This window comes from Homo sapiens, chromosome 14 (genome assembly GCF_000001405.40).
Source record: "Homo sapiens chromosome 14, GRCh38.p14 Primary Assembly".
Classification (NCBI taxonomy): Eukaryota; Metazoa; Chordata; class Mammalia; order Primates; family Hominidae; genus Homo; species Homo sapiens.
The window spans coordinates 77,564,844-77,587,917 of record NC_000014.9 but is presented as its reverse complement, the minus strand read 5'-3'; the positions used below and the strand labels follow the sequence as shown (position 1 = coordinate 77,587,917).

At 40.4% G+C, this 23,074-nt stretch overlaps 1 protein-coding gene across 2 annotated transcripts in view, besides 1 other annotated feature; it reads left to right on the top strand.

Moving 5' to 3' along the window:
• SPTLC2 (serine palmitoyltransferase long chain base subunit 2) overlaps window positions 1–23,074 on the top strand; it is a 110,641-nt gene that overhangs the window by 28,720 nt on the left and 58,847 nt on the right. For both annotated transcript variants that reach the window (NM_004863.4, XM_011537384.3), the window contains exons 3-5: window positions 8,809–8,963; window positions 11,003–11,151; window positions 17,410–17,534. In NM_004863.4, the coding sequence (NP_004854.1) occupies window positions 8,809–8,963; window positions 11,003–11,151; window positions 17,410–17,534 (429 nt within the window). The remainder of the gene's footprint in view (window positions 1–8,808; window positions 8,964–11,002; window positions 11,152–17,409; window positions 17,535–23,074) is intronic.
• Window positions 3,866–4,066: a silencer, noted in NCBI's record as "peak2208 fragment used in MPRA reporter construct". NCBI's record gives its function as "represses an SCP1 promoter by STARR-seq MPRAs in K562 erythroleukemia cells {active_cell/tissue: K562}" and the evidence as "EXISTENCE:reporter gene assay evidence [ECO:0000049][PMID:32103011]".

Below are 23,074 nucleotides of genomic sequence, written 5' to 3'. Positions count from 1 at the left end.
CAAATAAAAATTCAAAACGTTATAGATTTTTTTTTTACTATCTTGTCTTTGATATGCAATATTATGTTTATAATGAAATGTCTTGAAATCTTTTAGTAGTACTATCATACCAGCAAACAGCATTAGTTATTATTATTATTATTATTATTATTATTATTTTGAGACAGAGTTTTGCTCTTGTCGCCCAGGCTGGAGTGCAGTGGTGCGATCTCGGTTCACTGCAACCTCCACCTCCCAGGTTCAAGAGATCAGCCTTCCGAGTAGCTGGGATTACAGGTGCCTGCCACCACACCCGGTTAATTTTTTGTATTTATAGTAGAGACGGGTTTCGCCATGTTGGCCAGGCTGGTCTCGAACTCCTGACCTCAGGTGATCCACCTGCCTCAGCCTCCCAAAGTGCTGGGATTACAGGCATGAGCCACTGTGTCTGGCCTTCCTTCATTTTAATAATAATGGATATTGAGGCTTTTTTCATTTCTTGTCAGTGATGAATAAAACTACTATAAATGTTCTGATATATGCATTTCCTGCATGTAAATATGAGTTTCTCCAGGGTTGGAATTATTGAGTTATAGAGTTATAGAGTATGCATGTCTTCAGTTTCACTAGATAGTGCCAAATTGTTTTCCAAAGTTATTGTACTGGTTTGTACACCTACCGGCTGTGTTTGAGAATTCTTTTTTTTTTGAGACTGAGTCTCGTTCTGTCACCCAGGCTGGAGGAGTGCAGTGGCGTGATCTCAGCTCACTGCAAGCTCCGCCTCCTGGGTTCACGCCATTCTTCTGCCTCAGCCTCCCGAGTAGCTGGGACTACAGGCGCCCGCTACCACGCCCAGCTAATTTTGTTTTTGTATTTTTAGTACAGACGGGTTTCACTGTGTTAGCCAGGATGGTCTTGATCTCCTGACCTCGTGATCTGCCTGCCTCGGCCTCCCAAAGTGCTGGGATTACAGGTGTGAGCCACTGCGCCCGGCCAAGAATTGTTCCACATCTCTTTACTAACACTCAGTATTGCCAGAATTTAAAATTTTTGCCAGTTCAATTGGTATATATGTACTAGTGTCTCATTGTGGTTTTAATTTGCAATTCTCTATTGCCCAGTGAAGCTGAACAGCTTTTTATATGTTTAATGACCATTGGAAGTGCTGATTTCATGAAGTCTCTGTTCAAATCTTTTGTCCGTTTTTCTACTGGGTTTGTGTATTTTTCTAAGTGGTTTTTAGGAAATATTTATGTATCCTACAAGTATTTTGCGTCTACCATCCCTCTTTTGTGGCTTGTCTTTCGCTTAGCATAGTGTTTTCAAGATTCATGTACCATTGTAGCAAGTAACAGTACTTCATTCCTATATCACTGTATACTATTCTGTTATGTGGATATACCACATTTTGTTACCACCTTTTGGCTGTTGTGAATAGTGCTTCTATGAACATTCACATACAAGTACTTGTTCGAGTATCTGTTTCCAATTGGTACGTACCTAAGAATGGAATTGCTGGGTCACATGGAAAGTCTATATTTACCTTTAAAAAAATTATTTTTTGGCTGGGTGTGATGGCTCACACCTGTAATCCCAACACTTTGGGAGGCCAAGGTGGGTGGATCGCTTGAGGTCAGGAGTTTGACACCAGCCTGGTCAACATGGTGAAACCCCGTCTCTACTGAAAATACAAAAATTAGCGGGATATGGTGGTGCACACCTGTAATCCCAACTACTTGAGAGGCTGAGGTACGAGAATTGCTTGAACCCAGGAGGCGAATGTTGCAGTGAGTCTAGATTGCGTCACTGCACTCCAGCCTGGGTAACAGAGCAAGACTCCATCTCAAAAAAAAAAAAAAAGAAAAAAGAAAAAATTTATCACGTTCATCGTTGTCAAAGTCTACATGTACCTTTGAGAAACCAACACACTTTTCCACCTTGGCTGTGCCATTTTGCATGTCCACCAGGAATGTATTAAGGTTTTTCTGAGTCTTATAGTTTTATATTTTACGTTTAGGGCTATGCTCCTTTTGAGTTAATTGTATAAGGTATGAGGTTTAGGTCGGGTCATTTTTTTGGCCAGTGGATGTCCTAGTGAGAAAGTTTTTAAAATAAGTATGGCATTTAAAAGTAATCTGTGAAGGTCTAAATACTTTATAGTTTTGTAGATTTAAATTTTTCTCCCACGTTTTCCTTTACTTAGCAAGTTTTGAATAAAAGTAAAGCTGAAATAAATTTGTTCCTTAAAGACTGCTAGAGTTGGTTTACTTGTCCCAGTTTTTTTTCCCTGCACTGGATGCATAGGTCAAGGGTCGAACTTTAAATCATCCTGACCTTGAGAAGACACTGAGACAGTTCTAAGCATGTTTTCCAAGCTTTTTATCCTAACATCAAAGCAGTGATTGTTTGCCTCAAATGCTCATGTTTGAGAGAAATTTTGTCTTTTGTTATATCGAGATTGGTGCCCCAGACTCTAAAATAAGTAAAAGTTATTAAATTAGAACTGACATTGAGAATTCTTAATGGAATTAGTAGTAACACTACCACTAATAGTGTTAGTTTGGAATAATACTAGTCTCAGTTTTGGCTTTGTCACTGCATTGTTATGTGACTTGGACAAAGAATTTAAATTTTATTCAGTGACTCTGTAAAATACATCTAATAAGTTATTAAACATCTATTTCTCAACAATAATTATAATGACCACGTTGTTGAAATCGTCACATTATTGGTAGAGTTACCAAAAACACTGTAGGTCATTCAAGCCAACAGAGAATTAGGCATTTATGGCTTTGTGGAGGGGCGAGAGCAGTGAGGTTAGGGCCTCCCTCCCCTAACTGGGCAGCTACCCCAAACTAGGAAACTGCTCCTGCCGTGAGTACTCTGAGTGCTGGCATCACAACTGTCGCACTGCCAGAGGCTGGTGAATAGGCAGTGGCACATAGAATCGCGCTGGTGCCGACCCAGCACTGAGGTCTGCAGGGGCTTGCCTCCTACGCTGGTGCAAAGCGTGGCCCCTGCCATCCAGCTGTTGTATGTGCTTCTCACTGGCAGACCCTACATCACATCCGCAACCCGATCACAAGGGTGTCCAGGAAATACAGTTTTTAGCCTTCCATCTCCTAAGTGTGTGTGTGTGTGTCTGTGTGTCTTGTAGGGGGTTTGTTATGTGTGTGTTGGTCATATGCAGAACATAGGAAAAGAATGGGAAGGACAATAGCACAGTGGTCTTGAAGTGCTTTGAACGCTATCAAAGTATTTCAGATTGATTTAGTAGCATCACCAAATAAGAGGCAGTGTGGCATTGGGGTTGGGAGCACAGAGTAAAGTTAGAAGGCCTGGATCATCAGTTCCTGGCTCTGCCTCTGGCTGCTTTCCTAAGTGGGAAAGCCATTTAGCCTTTCTGAAAGTGTAAGAAATATCTTCCTTAAGAGTGTGCAGAGTATGTATATTTACATACTTACATATATAAGTATATAAATATGTGTGCATGTAAAGCACTTGGCAAGTGCCTGGTATGTCATAAATACTCAGTAGATGGGCACTCTTGCTGCTGTTGTGATTATTCATCATCTTTATCATCATCATGTAAACATATTTGACTATCTGTGTTGGACCAGAATGATGCTTAACAAAGGGACAGTTGTTAGAAAGTGGACTTCAAAAAGTGATAGCATCCAGCTTTGCCCCCTGTGTTCTTAATGCCTGTATAGGTGCTACAATAGGTGGTACTTATGTATATTATATTAAACAATATGGGATATTTTCTAGAAGGCTTACCTTAAATAGGCTTAACCAGTAAAGGATATTTATTGGCTTCTTATTGAGATGTCCCTAGACTACTTTTGATAAGGTCTTCATTGATCTCTAAGCAGCAAATCCAAGAGTTTGAGTTGTTCTCTTGAGTTGAGAAGGCTCTTAAGTGAGGAGTATTTCAAGCCCAGTGATCCAGCATTTAGTCGCGAGTAGGTATTGTTTTCCCTCTCCTTACATGTGCTAGGATATGGGATTTGTGAGGATCTTCAGGAAGAATGTTTATGAGTATATCCTTAAGGCTGCTTGGACTTGACTTTACCATTGTCACTCCCTTATCAGTTAGGTATTCGCTCCTTCTCTGGACAAACACTCTTTTATAGTACTTATTATATTGTATTTATTTGTGTGTTTCTCCACTACACTAAGAGTTCTTAGGGAGTGTAGAGGTTGTTCTTACTCATTTTTATTCCCAGTGCCCAGTTTAGTGCCTGGAAGGTACTGCTCAGTAAATGTTCAATAACTGAGTATTAGGTCAATGATGATGAGTATTACATAAGCCTTAACTAAAGTCACTTCACAGTGACCAAACTGAGGAGGAGGAAGAGAGTGGTGGAGATGGGGGAATGAGGGTCGGAATAGTGGGGCTATCACTCTTTGCGGAGAGAACTGTCTTGTTCTTTAACGTATCCTGAAAGTCTGGCATACAACCCAGTATGTATCGAGTACTCACTAAGATATATTTGAATGAATGAATGAAAAGATTACCCCCCTAGTTTAACTGTGGTCTTAGAGTGTTTAAAGTTAACCTGATATTTTTGGAAATACACTCCCATTGCCTAGAACTGGAACTGCAAGTAGTGACCCCTCCCCTCCTTTTTTTCATGGCTAAGCTGCAGGGAGTTTGGTTTGCTGCCCTTCTCATCTTTTTTAAAATTATTATTTTTATTTATTTATTTATTTATTTATTTATTTATTTATTTATTGAGACAGCTTTTCACTCTATTGCCCAGGCTAAAGTGCAGTGGTCCGATCTTGGCTCACTACAGCCCCAACCTTCTGAGCTCAAGTGATCTGTCCACCTCAGCCTCCCACGTTGCTGGGACTGCAGGCACATGCCACCACACCTGGCTAATTTTTGTATTTTTTGTAGTGACAGAGTTTCACTACATTGCCCAGGCTGGTCTCAAACTCCTGGGCTCAAGCGATCCACCCGCCTTGAGCCCAAAGTGCTGGGATTACGGCGTGAGCCACTGCGCCCAGCCATGCCTATCAAATCTTTCTGCTGAACCTACTGACTGAGATCAGAGCTACTACCCTGGAGCTTAGCTAAGGAGTAAAGGGGAGCTGAGATTTCGGCCGTAAGTCCCTCTCTCCTACCATTCTATGCCACCCGCTTTTGGTCCCTAACATCCCTGGTTGTGACAGCTTCTCCTCCTTTACCCTGTGCTACTGTGACTTAATCACTTGTTAAGGAGAGATGGAAATGCCTGACCATGGCAGGCACAATTCTTTGTTCAGGAAATTGGAACCCATTGCTTCCTTCCTAATCCCAGACAGCTGTGCCTCTGGTTTTCTTTGTTTAGCCCAAGGCTGAGGGGTGAAGCTCTACTTCATTCTGGCCTGCAGTCTTTTTTCTATCTTGGGGTTTGATAATCCCTCTGGTATTTGGAGCAGACTCTAAGGTTTTTCTGTTTTATATAGTAAAACAAAAAATATTGCTTTTGTTGCTAATAAAAATTTGTCTGTAAGGAAATATTTCTCTTAATATTGGAGTTAATACTTTGAACATTAATGTGCAGTGTTTAGAAAGATTATAAAGAAATGAGATTGGCCGGGCGCCATAGCTCATGCCTGTAATCTCAGCACTTTGGGAGGCTGAGGCAGGCAGATCCTTTGAGGTCAGGAGTTCAAGACCAGCCTGACCAACATGGTGAAACACTGTCTCTGCTAAAAAATACAAAAATTAGCCAGGTGTGGTGGCGGGCACTTGTAATCTCAGCTACTTGGGAGGCTGAGACAGGAGAATCACTTGAACCTAGGAGGCGGAGGTTGCAGTGAGCCGAGATCACACCATTGCACTCCAGCCTGGGTGACAGAGTGAGACTCTGTCTCAAAAAAAAATTTTTTTTTTTAATTAAAAAAAAGAAATGAGATAATCAGTACTGTCATTTCCTTCATTAGAAGCGTTAGTACTGTTACCCTTTTTTACATGAATGAAAAGGATTGAAGACTACTTTTTGTTTTTTCCTTTGGGAAATAAATGCATGGATAATAACAGCCAAATAAAAAGTTTTAATTAGAATTGGATATCTCTATTCCTATTTTCATTCAACCAGTATACTTGTTGGAAGGCTATCAAAATGGACATGCCATTTAAATGAAAAATTTCCAATTGTGATAGACATGTTATTTATGAATATTTTCTGTCCTGAGGAAAATTAACTATTAGAACCAGTTGTAAAAGAGATGGTGGCTGGGCATGGTGGCTCACACCTTTAATCCCAGCACTTTGGGAGGCCGAGGTGGGTGGATCGCCTGAGGTCAGGAGTTTGAGAGCAACCTGGCCAACATAGTGAAACCCCGTCTTTAATAAAAATACAAAAAATTAGCTGGGCATGGTGGCAGAGTCCTGTAATCCCAGCTACTTGGGAGGCTGAGGCAGGAGAGTCGCTTGAACCTGGGAGGCAGAGGTTGCAGTGAGGCGAGATCACACCATTACACTCCAGCCTGGGCAACAAGAGTGAAACTCTGCCTCAAAAAAAAAAAAAAAAAAAAAAGAGAGATGGTATCAGGTACTGCAAATTCTTAGAGTAGCTTCTGACTTTGCTCAGCCTTATTTATAAGATTTATCTACTGGGAGGCTCATTCAATAGGCACTTGAGAGTCCGGTGTCATAGAAAGTTGTTAATTTTAGAGTTGTATGCAGCCTTCTTTAGCAATGAAAATCTTTTACAGAATAAGGCTTAAGCTTTTTCAATGTTTTTGACTGATTTAGTTAACAGCTTAATTTATATTGGCACCAAGCCCAGATCTAATGGTTATAAACTCAGTAGTTGGCTGATACAGTAAAAACTGTAGTTTCGTTTTCTTGTTGTTTGGTTTACCCTTTACATTCAAGAGTTTAAGTAGATCTCATATGGTCTGGTCACATGTGTTCTGAGTAGTGGTCATACCACACCAGGCATAGCATTTCTGCTCCGCTGTGACTTGATTTTTTACAGACTTAAGTTTTAGTACAACTTAATCTCTCAGAGGAAGGGTTAAGTTCCTGAGCATAGGAATTCATTTTGGGAATGTATTTTCTTTTCTTTCTTTTTAAAAATTTATTTGTAGAGACAGAGTCCCACTATGTTGCCCAGGCTGGTCTTGAACTCCTGGGCTCAAGTGATCTTCCCGCCTTAGCCTCCCAAGTGTTGGGACTACAGGCATGAACCACTGTGTCCTGCCTTCTTTTCTTTTTGAGACAGGTTCTCGCTCTGTTGCACAGACTGGAGTGCAGTGGTGTAGTCATAGCTTACTGTCACTTCAGATTCCTGGCCACAAGCGATCCTTCCACCTTAGCTTCCCGAAGTGTTGGGGTTACAGGCATGAACCATTGTACCTGGCCTCTTTTTTTTTTTTTTTTTTTCTTTTTTAAAAAATTCCTTTCTAAAGGGAAAAGAACCTAAGGTGGGTGGCTTCCTATAACCATTTTTTTTTTTTTTTGATATGGAGTCTCATTCTGTTGCCCAGGCTGGAGTGCAGTGACCACGGCCCACTGCAACCTCTGCCTCCCAGGTTCAAGCGATTCTGCTGCCTCAAGCCTCCCGAGTAGCTGGAATTACAGGCACCCGCCACCATGCCCAGCTAATTTTTGTATTTTTAGTGGCGATGGGTTTCGCCATGTTGGCCAGGCTGGTCTTGAACTCCTGAGACTTCAAGTGATCTTCCCACCCACCCACCTCGGCCTCCCAAAGTGCTGGGATTACAGGTGTGAGCTACCACACCCGGCCCCTATATCCTATTTTATAGTGTTTCTTGTTTATTATTTTCTCTTTGGATTTGTTTCATTTTGATCCTTGAAAATATGCAAAGGATGGAATCTTAATTTTGGAATTGTTTTTCTTGGTTGAAATTGGAATTATGTGGTTTTTATGGCATTTCCCCTAATCTATTAATGTGGGAGGAGGCTTGTGGGGAGGGAAGAGCCGTCTTTTTGAGATTATTAGGGAGGGAAACCATTTAATGACAGAATTGTATGACTACATTTTATTTTTATGAGGACTACTTTGTTAATTTACATTCTTGTGCTCTACATTCATGAAGTCAGTTATTTGAAACCATGTAATATATGTCAACTATTAAAGTTAAGTGACTTTTATCTGATAAGAGTTGTGTTAAAATAATCATAGAGAATTGATGCCTTTCCAGATGTTTTCCTGATACATCAGGGTTTTTTTTGTTGTTGTTTTTGCTGTTATCCAGCTTGGAGTACAGTGGTGCCATCATAGCTCACTGCAGCCCCAATCTACTGGGCACAAGGGATCTCCCTGCCTCAGCCTCCCGAGTAGCTGGGACTACAGGTGCACTGCACCTGGCTAATTTTTAAAATGTTTTTGTTGAGACAGAGTCTCGCTATGTTGCCCAGGCTTGTCCCGAACTCCTGAGCTCAAGCAGTCCTCCTGCATTGGCTTTCTAAAGTCCTGGGATTACAGACGTGAGCCACCAAGCCTGTCCTGATTTAGCAGTTAATTAAATATAAGTGGCCTCTCATTCTCAGGTGCTCTTACAGTATGAAAATGGAAGTTGTAAAGTTTGTTTTTAAAGTAACTCAGTGGAATGATAGACAGTGGAGACTTGGAAGGGTGAGGGAGTGAGGGTGGATGATGAGAAATTACTTAATGGGTACCATGTGTGTTATTTGAATGACTGATACCGTAAAATCCCTGACTTGTCCATTACACAATCTTGCACGTAATGAAATTGCCCTTATACCCCATAAATTTACATAAATAAAAGATCATGTCATCTGTTAAAAAATTTTTTAATAAAGTAACTCAGTTAAATTTATGGTATGTCACCATTTCTTGGCAGGACTTTGTGTCATTGTATCAAGATTTTGAAAACTTTTATACAAGGAATCTGTACATGAGGATAAGAGACAACTGGAATCGGCCAATCTGTAGTGTGCCTGGAGCCAGGGTGGACATCATGGAGAGACAGTCTCATGATTATAACTGGTCCTTCAAGTGAGTCTTGGTTGGGAAATTATTTGACAACAATTACAAAAGGGTTTCTTCATTTGAGAAAATATGTTATTATAAATTGAGTATTCTCTCAAAATAGGAGTAGCAGCTGAGGATACAATATGATTGGTTTCCTTACATATTCTTCATTGTTGAGCTTTTTAAGATATATCTTTCTATTACATTTGATACTGTGTTGGATTATAGTTCAGAAGAAAATTTGGCTTATTTATTTTTTGAGATGGAGTTTCGCTCTGTCACCCAGGCTGGAGTGCAGTGGCGTGATCTCAGCTCACTGCAACCTCCGCCTCCCAGGTTCAAGCAATTCTCATGCCTCAGCCTCCCGAGTAGCTGGGACTACAGGCATGCACCGCCACACCCAGCTAATTTTTGTATTTGTTTTAGTAGAGATGGGGTTTCACCATGTTGGCCAGGCTGGTCTCGAATGCCTGACCTCAAGTGATCTGTCCCCCTCAGCCTCCCAAAGTGCTGGGATTACAGGCATGAGTCACCGCGCCCAGCCTGGCTTCTTTATTTTTAAAAATAACTCCTATTGATAAGAAACAGTATACAAAAGTTTAGTCTGTTTTATTTTTGGTCTTGACTTTAAAAAAAAAAAAAAAGAAAAGCTATCCTTTCCATTATGCCACTTATCAGAATCAAGTATCCAAATTTATTTCTGGATATTTTGATTTCTCAAATGATTTAAGGATGATATGTAGAGTGTTTTTACTTACATGGATTGAATAGTTTGGAAAACTTTTTGTATTTTTAACATTGTATTTGTTTGTTTGTTTACTTATTCATTTATTTGAGTCAGAGTCTCGCTTTGTTGCCCAGGCTGGAGTGCAGTGTCACAATCTTAGCCCACTGCAACCTCCACCTCCCAAGTTCAAGTGATTCTCCCACCTTAGCCTCTCTGGTAGCTGGGACTACAGAGATGCACCACCATGCTCAGCTACTTTTTGTATTTTTAGTAGAGATGAGGTTTCACCATGTTGGCCAGGCTGGTCTCGAACTCCTGGCCTCAAGTGATCTGCCCACCTTGGCCTCCCAAAGTGTCAGAGTCTTGCTCTGTCACCCAGGCTGGAGTGCAGTGGCACCATCTTGGCTTACTGCAAGCTCTGCCTCCTGGGTTCACGCCATTCTCCTGCCTCAGCCTCCCGAGTAGCTGGGACTACAGGCTCCTGCCACCACACCCGGCTAATTTTTTGTGTTTTTTAGTAGAGACAGGGTTTCACTGTGTTAGTCAGGATGGTCTCAATCTCCTGACCTTGTGATCCACCCACCGCGGCCTCCCAAAGTGCTGGGATTACAGGCGTGAGCCACCGTGCCCGGCCTACAGCTTGCCTTCTTAGCTTGGTCAAATATCAGTGACACCCCTTCTCATGTGTATATTCACAGCAAGTTTATTATTTGTAGTGACTACATTGTATTTTACAGTATACATGTGCCATGGTGTGACATGTTGGGCTGTGTTAATAATCTCAAAATCTCAGGGAATTAAAACAGTAACAGTTTATCCTTATCGATACTTCATGTTCATCCTAGGTTGGTGGGGCCCTTGAACCATTTTGTCCTTAGTTAGGGGCCCAGGCTGCCTCAGCTTCCATTGTATGAAATGTCACTGGTCTCTGTATCTGAAGAACAGATGTGGCAAATTGTGCAGTGGCTCTCAAAGGATCCTCATGTGTATATATTCTCATGTGCGGGAGTTACTGAGTATGTATATCTTTTAATGGATAAGTACTGCCAAACTGCCCTCCAAAAAACAAACCTGATATTCTTATGTACAGTGTCCTGTAAGATAAGGTGATTGTCCTGGCCAACACTGGATATCATTAGTTTTAAAATCTTTATCACTATTAATAAATGAAAATTGATTATTTTAACTTCTATTTCCATAATTGGTAGTGTGTTTGAGATTTTTTTAATATAGACTTTGTTCTCTCTGCTTCCTTTTGTGTCACCAGTTCATTTAATATTACATGTAAGTACTTTTTTGCTCATGAGTTTCATTGTTTTATGCTATTGATGCACAGGTATACAGGGAATATAATAAAGGGTGTTATAAACATGGGTTCCTACAACTATCTTGGATTTGCACGGAATACTGGATCATGTCAAGAAGCAGCCGCCAAAGTCCTTGAGGAGTATGGAGCTGGAGTGTGCAGTACTCGGCAGGAAATTGGTAAGTGAAAGCTGTATTTGGCCAGCTGCTGTTTTTGACATTGTTTTAGTCAGGGGCAAATAATAGTAATATTGACCTAGAGTATTAAATATCTACACTTTGTCATGTCATTTAGATAAGGTGAAGAATGCTTTGTTTTTCTGAAGTGTGATGGATGATTTCAATGCTTTCAACACATTTTGAGATGTGTTTATCTTTCCCAATGTGTTATACATATAGAATGTCCCTCGAAAAATCCTGCCAGTGTTTGTTTCATTTATAACTTTAATGTTGATTTCATTGGCTTTTGCAAATGTTAGTGGTTAAGAGTGCCACTTATTAGGATGTTGGGCATATGAGAGTTAATCTGCTTTCATACTGGTACATGGGGGCTAATAATAATTCCTGCCTTATAGAGCTCTTTTAAGAATTACGTAAGCTAATCCATGTAGAGTACTTGGAACATAGTAGACAATAAATATAAACTCTTTTTATTATTGTTTTAAGTTTGTAAAATATAAAAGAGTAATAACTTTATATAAAGAGATTCAATTTATTTTAATTCAGCGGAAGATTTCAGATTGTTCCAATTTGATTCAGAGAACTGACAACCCTGGAAGTTATGAAAACTTTCCAAATACTTATTACTGTAAGCACAGTAGATTAAAAGAACAGTTCATTGTTAGTTATTTCTCAGGGTTCTAGGGATTGGCAAGCACAGTTGGGTGCTTCTTACCCAAGGTTCCTCTCACGGTTGCACTCAGTGGTGGCTGTATGGCTGGAGACATGAAGCCTTCTTCATTCGCATGTTTCACCTAGGCTGCGGTGGCTGGAGCTCTGTGTGGCCTCTCCATGTTTCTAGCTTGGGTTTCTTCATACCATGGTGGTCTTGGAGAGTTGTTCATCATGCATGGCTGCAGGCCTCTAGAGCAAGCATGCAAAGATACCTGACTGAAGCCAGGCACGGAGGCTCATGCCTATAATCCCAGCACTTTGTGAGGCCAAGATAGGAAGATCAGCTGAGGCCAGGAGTTCGAGACCAGTCTGAGCAACATGGTGAGACCTGTTCTCTAAAAAAATAAAGATAAAGTAGCCGAACGTGGTGGCGCATGCTTGTGATCCTAGCCATTCAGGAGGCTGAGGCCAGAGCATCCCTCGAGCCAAGGAGTTTGAGGCTGCAGTGAGCTATGATCGTGCTACTGCACCCTAGCCCATGACAGAGTGAGACACTGTGTCAAAAAACAAAAACAAGGATACCCAGTTGAAAGTTGGAAGGCTTTTTATGCCCTAGCTGTACAGGTCCCAAAGTATCATTTATGCCTCTTCTATTGGCCAAAGCGTCGCTAAGGTCAGCCCAGATTCAAGGGTTGTGGGGATTGCCCTCCTCCACCTCCAAATGGGAAGAATAACAAAGAATTTGCATCCATATTTAATCTTCCATAGCAACTCTGTCAGCTCACGAAATTTAAAACAACATGAAGACAGGGAAAAAAATAAAATTGTGCAGATTTTTATATCTATTTATTTAGATAGCTAGATACATGGATATATAGATAGATTGATGCATAGATGGATGCAGGGTCTCTGTTGCCCAGGCTGGAGTGCGGTGGTGCAGTCAGCTCACTTCAGCCTCAAACTTCGGTACTCCAGCCATCCTCCCACCTCAGCCTCCTAAGTAGTTAGGACTATAGGTGCACGCCACCATGCCCAGCTGATTTTTTAATGTGATTTTTGTAGAGATGGGGATCTCTTTCAAGAGGCTATGTTGCCCAGGGTGTTCTTGAAATCCTGGCCTCAAGTGATTCTCCTAACTCAGCCTTCCAGAACACTGGGATTATAGGTGTGAGTCACCATGCCTGGCCCCACCATCTAATTTTAAATATTTTCATTCCTCCTAAAAGAAATGCTATACTCAGTAGCATTCATTGGATACTGTTTCCCTTCCCCCTACAAGTCCTTGGCAACCAGTAGTCTACTTTTTGTCTTTATAGATTTGCCTATTTTGGACATTAAATATAAAAGGAATTGTATAACATTTGGTCTTTTCTGTCTGGCTTCCTTCACTAGCACAATATTTTCAAATTCATCCATGTTGTAGCCTGTAACAGCACTCCATTCTTTTCTATGACTGAATAATAATCCTTTGTGTGAGGGTGCCACGTCTTGTTTATCCACTTATCACTTGATGGTCATTTGGGTTGTTTCTACTTTTTGGCTATTGTCAGCAGTGCTGCTGTGAACGTGGGTGTACAAGTTTTTGTATGATATATTTTTGTTTCTCTTGGGTTTATACTTACTAGTGGAATTGCTAGGTCGTATGGTAACTCTGTGTTTGACTTTTTGAGGAATTGCTAAACTGTTTTCCAAAGAGACCGTACTGTTTTACAATCTCTCCATCGATGTATGAGGGTTCCTATTCATTTTTATATCATCTTCCAGTCATCTTGTTTGTAGCCCAACTTTAACCCTTGATTACTTTGCTACCTGTTCCCTCTGGTTTTTAAGCTTCTCTAGGGTTCCATACAGTGAATTTACTTGGTTTTCAAAGGATTCCACTCTATAAGGGCATAGATATGACCTTCTTCTAACTCTGTCATTTTCCAGTTGTATTAGTTTCCTGTGGCTGCTGTAACAAAATATCAGAACAGAGTGACTTAAAACAACAAAAATGTCTAGTCTCATAATTCTGTGGGTTATAAGTTTGGGGTCTAGGTGTCAGCAGGGCCATGCTGTCTGATGCTCTGGAGAAACCTTCCTAGCTTCTGGTGTCGACAGCAATCCATGACGTTCCCTGGCTTATAGCACATCACTCCACCACACGGCTGTCTTCCTGTGTGTCAAACATTGTCGTCTTCTGGCCGGGCACAGTGGCTCATGCCTGTCATCTCAGCACTTTGGGAGGCCAAGGCGGGCAGATCACTTGAGGTCAGGAGTTCAAGACCAGCCTAGCCAACATGGTGAAACCCTGTCTTTACTGGAAATACAAACATTAGCTGGGCGTGATGGAAGGTGCACGCCTGTAATCCCAGCCACTCGGGAGGCTGAGGCACGAGAATCTCTTGAACCTGTGAGGCAGAAGTTGCAGTGAGCCGAGATCACACCACTGCACTCCACCTGGGCAACAGAGTGAGACTCTGTCTCAAGAAAAACAAAAAAACAGCATTGTCTTCTGTATTCCTTCTGTGCATGTCTATCACTGTGTCCAAATTTCCCCTTTCTATAAAGACATTAGCATCCCCCTAATGGCCTCATTTTATTTATTTATTTATTTATTTATTTATTTATTTTTAAAATCTTTGTAAAAATTTTTTATTGATACATAACATTTGTACATTTGTGTGGGGTACATGTGATGTGTTGTTACATGTATAGAATGTGTATAGAATCAAGTCAAGGTATTTAGGGTACTCGTCACCCCAAGCATTTATTATTTCTATATGTTGGGATCATCAAGTCCTCTCGTCTAGCTATTTGAAATATACAATACATTGTTTTTAACTATAGTCACCCTACTCTGCTATCAAACATTAGAACTTATTTCTTCTAACTCTATATTTGTACCCATTTACCAGCTTTTCTTCATCTCCCCCGCTCCCCCTACCTCATCTCAACACACATCCTTCCAGTATTGTTTTACTCGCTACCTCCATGAGATTAAATTTAGTGAGGAAGGCATGTTAAAAGCTGACATAGGCCAAAAGCGAGGCCTCTTACACCAAGCAATTAGCCAAGTTGTGAATGCAAAAAAAGTTCTCGAAGAAAATTAAAAGTGCTACTCCAGTGAACCCACAAATTATAAGAAAGTGAAACAGCCTTTTATTGCTGGTAGAGAGAAAGTTTTAGTGGTCTGGATAAAAGATCAAAGCAGCCACAACATTCCCTTAAACCCAAATCTAATCCAGAAGAAGATCCTAATCGCTTCAATTCTATCAAGGCTGAAAGAGGTAAGGAAGCTGCAGAAGAAAAGCTTAAGCCTAGCAGAAGTTCATTCATGAAGCTTAAGGAAAGAAGCCATCCCCACAACATAAAAGTGCAAGGTGAAGCAGTGAATGCTGATAACTTCAGCAAGTTATCCAGAAGATCTAGCTAAAATAATTGATGAAGGTGGCTACAATAAATCACAGATTTTCAATGTAGATGAAACAGCTTTAAATTGAAAGAAGACACCATCTAAAACTTTCACAGCTAGAGACAAGTCAATGCCTGGTTTCAAAGCTTCAAAAGACAGGTTGACCCTACTTTTAGGTGCTAATTTTAAGTTGAAACCAATGAATGACCTCATTTTAATTTGATTACCTCTGGAAAGTTCCAGTTTCCAAAGAAGGTCACATTCTTCTGGGAATGAGGACGTCAAAATATCTTTTTTGGTGGGACACAATGGAACCCGTAGCATCATCCTTCTGTATATTTTCCATTTTCATTAATTGTGTTCAGAATTACAGATGTCCACTAATTAATAAAAAATTGAGCTTTTAGCTTTTATTTCTTGGTTATCCAGTTGTTTTGTGATGATTTTCAAGAGGAAGATGGGAGTAGAACATTTTTATTTCCCCCTGCCTTTAAAACAGAGTTTCTAACTGGCACTCCAGAAATGACAAGCCTTGTGATCTAATCCTGTGGTTAAAGGAGCATTGTGCAGTGGCGACATATAGTAAGGATACATTATGCCTTTATGGCATTTGATATTTTATAAAGTGCTCGGCTGGATGCGGTGGCTCACGCCTGTAATCCCAACACTTTGGGAGGCCAAGGTGGGTGGATCTCTTGAGGTCAGGAGTTTGAGACCAGCCTGGCCAGCATGGTGAAACCTGTCTCTACTAAAAATACAAAATAGTCAGGCGTGGTGGTCCGCACCTGTAATCCCGGCTACTTGGGAGGCTGAAGCAGGAGAATTGCTTGAACCCAGGAGGTGGAGGTTGCAGTGAGCTGAGATTGCGCCACTGCACTCCAGCCTGGGCGACAGTGCGAGACTCTCTCTCTCAAAAAAAGAAAAAAAGCTCAAACGTATTATCTCTTTTGATCCTCACAACAATGTCATGAGGTAGATAGGGCAAATTATTATTGCTATTTAGAAGTATTTAGCCCAGAGAGTTCCTAAGGGCTTTGATTAAGCAAGCCTTAAGGACACATGGCATCCAAGTTTAGCATTCTTCTTTCCCGCATCTTTTCTCTCTGTAATGTCATTTAGTCCTTAAAGATTTGAGTACCAATATAAAATTGCGGTACAAATTTACCAGTCAGTTCACAGTGAGGGAAGAACCTTTTTTTTTTTTTTTTTTGAGTCAGAGTCTCGCTCTGTTGCCTAGGCTGGAGTGCAGTGGTGCGATCTCAGCTCACTGCAACCTCTGCCTCCCAGGTTCAAGCGATTCTCCTGCCTCAGCCCCCGAGTAGCTGGGATTACAGGCACACGCCACCATGCCTGGCTAATTTTTGTATTTTGAGTAGAGACAAGGTTTCACCATGTTGCCAGGCTGGTCTCAAACTCCTGACCTTAGGTGATCCGCCCTCCTTGGCCTCCCAAAGTGCTGGAATTACAGGCGTGAGCCACTGCACCCTGCCAGGAAGAAACGTTTTTACCTATCTTTTGCTGTATAACAAACCATCTCAAAACTTAGTGGTTTAAAACAGCAACAGATTTATTTGCTCATGATTCTGCAATTTAGGGAGGGCCTGATGTTATCTTAGCTCCATGTGGTATTGGATAGGCAATTATGACTGTGTACAGGGTATCCAAGATGTCTTAACTCACGTTTGACACTTCAGCTGGGTGGCAGGAAGGGCTAAGGGCTGGCTGGGCATCTCTGTTTCTCTTTCTCTCTGTCTCCCCCTCTCCTTACGTCTTTCTCTCCTCCTTCCATAGTCTCTTATCCCTCAGTTCCCATCCCCCCGCCCATGTTCTGTTTTTGCAACAGGCCAGTTAGATTGTTTTACATAGCAGCTGACTTCAAAAGTGTAAAAGCAGATTTTGCTAGGCCTCCTAAGGCCTAGACCTGGAACTAGTATGCACAAACAGGAATGGGAGAAATTTTTCGCAGCCCCCTTTGGGGAAATTCCACTGCAGGTGCTGAATCAGATTTTATTCAACTATTGTGTTCTTTATGAGCACATATTACTCTTCACAATATTATGAAGAATATTACTCTTCATAATATTGACTCCTTCATAGATCTTAGTCTGAAAAGGACACAACACATATACTATGATTTCTTTTAATAAAGTGATGAGTAATTCTTAAATTCAGGATTTTGTGATACTGACTTTATTAACTTCTTCACACAGGAAACCTGGACAAGCATGAAGAACTAGAGGAGCTTGTAGCAAGGTTCTTAGGAGTAGAAGCTGCTATGGCGTATGGCATGGGATTTGCAACGAATTCAATGAACATTCCTGCTCTTGTTGGCAAAGTAAGATACTCTGTCATTTATGAAAACTCCCTCATGTATATCTTCTTTTGTTTTGAAAAGCAGTCAGAGTGAGCTAAAAGCTGTTATAAACTTTAGGCTAAACATAGTTTAGCCAAAGATATTTCTACCACAAATTGTTTTTCTTTTTTTTTTTTTTTTTTGAGATGGAGTCTTGTTCTTTCGCCCAGGCTGGAGTGCAGTGGCACCATCTCAGCTCACTGCAGCCTCTGTCTCTTGGATTCAAGCGATTCTCCTGCCTCAGCCTCCCAAGTAGCTGGGACTACAGCTGTGTGCCACCACGCCTGGCTAATTTTTTGTATTTTTAGCAGAGGCGGGGTTTCACCATGTTGGCCAGCCTGGGCAACATAGTGAGGCCTCGTCTCAATTTGATTTTATTTTTTAAATTAAAAACAATTTGTGGCCAGGCGCAGTGGCTCACACCTGTAATCCCAGTGCTTTGGGAGGCTGAGGCAGGTGGATCACCTGAGGTCAGGAGTTTGAGACCAGCCTGTGTTTATATATTTATATACATATATATAATATTGTATATTATATATATATATAACATATATGTATGTTACATATTATATATATTACATATTACATATTATATATATAATATATATATCCCCAAGTGGGTAGTGTGTGTGAGAGGGCACAATCTGTATGTAAATGTAAATTATATTTCAGCAGATTGGTACTCTCATCCTGAAAGGCCCCTTGAGGTTATTTATTCTCATGTTTAACATGACACTTAGGAATGGTATATTGAAAACGTGGTGGATTAACTCAAGCAGGAGAATTGAGTTTTTGTTTTTTGGTTGTTTATATGGTCACACTTAGCTGTGTGACTGTGAGCATGTCAAATAATCTTTCTGATCCTCCAAGTTTCTTTTGTAAAATGAGGTGGTTGAGCTAGATTAACTCTAAAGTCCTTTTTAGTTATGCAGTGTATGGGTCTGTAAGGTACAGATGGGACAAATAGAAAACAAACAGCAAGATAGGAGATTTAAACCCACCTGTGTTGATAAACATTAAATATAAATGGTTTGTACATTCCAATGAGAAGACAAAGATTGTCGGATAAAATTAAGTAGGTTTCCTAATGTAAAATAGCAACCTATTTTAAATATGAAGACACAGAGGTTAAAAGGAAAAGGATAGAAAAAAAATACAGCATGCAAATAATAATCAGAAGAAATGTGAAGTGCCTGTATTAATATAAACAAAGATTTCAGAGCAAGAAATATTTCTGGTGATAAAGAACATTGTGTAATGATTAAGGAATTAATTCATCAAGAGGTTATAATTTTAAATGTGTAGGTGCTTATCCCATTTATGCCTAATGTTCCATTATTGGAACGCTAAGCATGTGGGAGTTATTTATATCCTACTGCTCAAGGTCATCGCCAGGGTCTGATTTTGCAATTCAAAAAATTGTAACCTCTGGCATAAATGGGTTATTAACAGAGCGTCAAAGTACGTGAAGCAGAAATTGATGAAACTAAAAGAAGTAGACAAATAGAAAATTGTAATTAGAGACATTAACCCCTCTCTCTTTTTTTTTTTTTTTTTTGAGACAGAGTCTCGCTCTCTTGCCCAGGCTGGAGTGCAGTGGTGTGATTTCGGCTCACTGCAAGCTCTGCCTCCCGGGTTCACGCCATTCTCCTGCCTCAGCCTCTTGAGTAGCTGGGACTACAGGCGCCCACCACCACACCTGGCTAATATTTTGTATTTTTAGTACAGACGGGGTTTCACCGTGTTAGCCAAGATGGTCTTGATCTCCTGACCTCATGATCTGCCTGCCTCGGCCTCCCAAAGTGCTGGGATTACAGGCGTGAGCCACTGTGCCCTGCCCTAACCCCTCTCTCTTAATTAACAGAAGAATGAAACAGAAAATCAGTAATGATATAGAATGTTTGGAAAACACTGTCAACCAGTTGACCTAATTGAGAGTCATGAAACACTTCACTCAACAACAGCAAAACATTTACTACCAAAGACCATATTCTAGGCCATTAAGCCAGTTTTGGTAAATTTGAAAGTATTAAAATTATTCAAAGTATGTTCTGTGATCACAGTGGAATTTAAATTAGAAATTGATAACACAAAGATATCTGGAAAACCTTTGAATATTTGAAAATTAAACAATATATTTCTAAATAACCCATGGGCCAAAGAAGAAAAAACAGGGGAAAATAAACATATTTTGAACTAAATGGAAATGTAACCTATTATAGTTTGTTGGATGAAGCTAAAGCAATGCTCAGATGGAAATGTATAGCATTAAACGTTTATACAGGTTGAGCATTCCTAATCCCAAAATCTGAAATCTAAAATGTTTCAAACTCGTAAATATTTTGAGTGTCATCATGACAGCTCAAAGAAAATGCTTAGGGGTGCTAAACCAGTAAATATAATGCAAATAATCCAAAATCCATAAAAATCTGAACTCTGAAACACATCTGGTCCCAAGCATTTTGAATAAGGAATATTCAACCTGTATTAGAAAAAAAGTAAAGCAGCCAGACTCCATCTTAAAAAAAAAAAGTAAAGCTTGTAGCTTAAAAAATTAGAAAAAGAAAAACAAATTAAACCCAAACTAAGCAGAAGGAAGAATATAATGATGATAAATGCAAAAATTAATGAATTAGAAAATAGACAATAGGAAAATTAGTGAAACCAAAGCTGATTCTTTGAGAAAATGAATATAGTTGATAAATCTGTGGCCAGAATGGTCAGGATAAGAAGAGATAAGGTGCATATTACCAGTAACAGGAATGAGAGAGGGGGACATCACTACACGTCCTATGGACATTAAAGGATAATAAGGGAGTATTAAGAACAACTTCATGCCAAAATATTCAACAACTTAGATAAAATACACAAAATTCCTTGTAAGACATAAATGTATGGTTCTTTGACTTCACGTTATAATACGTTGCTGTCCTGCATTTTGAAGTACAAGCCTGAGATTCTTATTTGTTAGAATTTTTAACACTAGAGGATTAGAAAATCTCATCTTGCTCTTCTCTCTGTATGCTTACAAGCTCTATCAGAGGATTATCTAGAATTAGACGTTTTCTACACAGACCTGGAAGATACAACCATAAGGATTTATATTCCAGGGCCGGGCGCAGTGGCTCACGCCTGTAATCCCAGCACTTTGGGAGGCTGAGACGGGTGGAGATCGAGACCATCCTGGCTAACAGGATGAAACCTTGTCTCTACTAAAAATACAACAAATTAGCCGGGCGTGGTGGCGGGTGCCTGTAGTCCCAGCTACTCTGGAGGCTGAGGCAGGAGAATGGCGTGAACCCGGGAGGCGGAGCTGGCAGTGAGCCGAGATCGGGCCACTGCACTCCAGCCTGGGGGACAGAGCGAGACTCCGTCTCAAAAAAAAAAGATTTATATTCCAAATCAAACTATAATTGAAATATTATTAAATATTGTTTAATCTGTTAAAGACAGTAACTTATCCAGTTTTAATGATCCTTTGAATCTGATACTGAATTTCCATGTGAGGTGGTTAATTGCTCAGTTTGATGGCAGGGTGGGGCAGTATATTGATTAAGAGCATAGGTTCTGGAAGCAGACACTTGTCTTATTTAATAATTATTTTGTGGCCGGGCGCGGTGGCTCACGCCTGTAATCCCAGGACTTTGGGAGGCCGAGGCGGGTGGAACACGAGGTCAGGAGATCGAGACCATCCTGGCTAACACGGTGAAACCCCGTCTCTACTAAAAATATAAAAATTAGGCGTAGTGGCAGGCGCCTGTGGTCCCAGCTACTCGGGAGGCTGAGGCAGGAGAATGGCGTGAACCCGGGAGGCGGAGCTTGCAGTGAGCCGAGATTGCGCCGATGCACTCCAGCCTGGGCAATAATTAGTATTGCTATTATTATTTTGTTACTGTGCTTGTGACCTTGAGCAAGATTCTAAACTCCTGAACAAGAGTGTCCTCATATGTAAAGTGGGAGTGATAATAGTGTCTGCTACATAGAATTATTGTGAGGATTAATAGTAATAATGCTTTTAAATCTTTTAACATGATACCTGAAACATTAAGCGCTTAGATGTTAACTGCTAGTATGAATACCTTTTATTTTTGAACCAAAGATTTAATAAAGCTTAAGAATAAGTTCTAAGGGAAAAAGACAGATTGATACATTGAAATGCTGAATAAGGCTGTCTAAAAAAGGCTGTCTAAAAAGAGTTCCTTTTTGCCAGAAAAAAAGAACATAATGCTTTTGCAGGTTTGCCAGAAAAATATTTAGCTGGAAAGAGAAGAAAATAAAATTTTGTGCGGAGGGGAAGGGAAGGGAGGGTTCTTTTTAAGATAGAGTTGAATGCCAAGAGTGGTAAGTAAAGAATTTGACTTGCTGAAGAGAAATCTGACTTCTCTTTATTTTCTCCCCCAGTTTCGCTTTTTCAATTTTAACACTTTTTTGAAACTTTAATTTAGACTTACAAAAAGAGTTACAAAAGAGTACAGAGAGTTCCTGTATACCATTCATTCAGCTTCCCTTTATGTTAACATCTTGCATAACAGTGGAACTGTTTCTTACAGCTAAGAAATTAACTGTGACACAATACTATAACTAAAGTACAGGACGTATTTGGTTTTCACCAGTTTTTCCGCTTCAGGATCCAGGTGAGGATCCACATTGTCTTTAGCTGTTGTAGCTCCTCAGTCTCCTCCAATCTGGGATAGTTCCTGTTTTTCTTTGTCTTTCATGACCTTAATACTTCTGAAGGGTACTGGTCCCTTATTTTGTAGAATGTCTCCAATTTGGGTCTGTCTGTTGTGTTGTTATGGTTTGATTGAGTCCGTGCGTTATTGAGAAAGCTACCACAGAAGTGATACCATTCTCAGTGAATCATGCGAGAGACTATGTGGTTTTGATACATATTACTGATGATGTAAATCTTAATCGCTTGTCTCAGGTGTCAGCGGGGATTTTCTACTACCAACTTACTGCTTTTCTCTTTGTAATCACCATATATTGTGGCAGAGATACTTTGGGACTGTATATAGCATTTTGGATTAAACTTTCACCCACTAACTTTAGTATGCATCTGTGATCTTGCCTGTGGCAGTTATTACCTTGGTGTTCTTTTTTTTTTTTTTTTTTTTTTTTTTGAGATGGAGTTTTGCTCTTGTTGCCCTGGCTGGAGTGCAGTGGCGCCATCTCAGCTCATTGCAACCTCTGCTTCCTGGGTTCAAGCAATTCTCCTGCCTCAGCCTCCTGAGTAGCTGGGATTACAGGCACCCACCACCATGCCCGGCTAATTTTTTGTATTTCTTAGTAGAGATGGGGTTTCACCACGTTGGCCAGGCTGGTCTCAAACTCCTGACCTCAGGTGATCCAGCCACCTCAGCCTCCCAAAGTGCTGGGATTACAGGCGTGAGCCACCGCACCCGGCTTACCTTGGTGTTCTAATGGTGATTTTTCTATTTTTCTCATTCTTTCTATACTTACTAATTAGAATTTTTGTGTAAGGAAGAGTTCTTGCTTCTCCCTTATTTATTTCTGTCGTT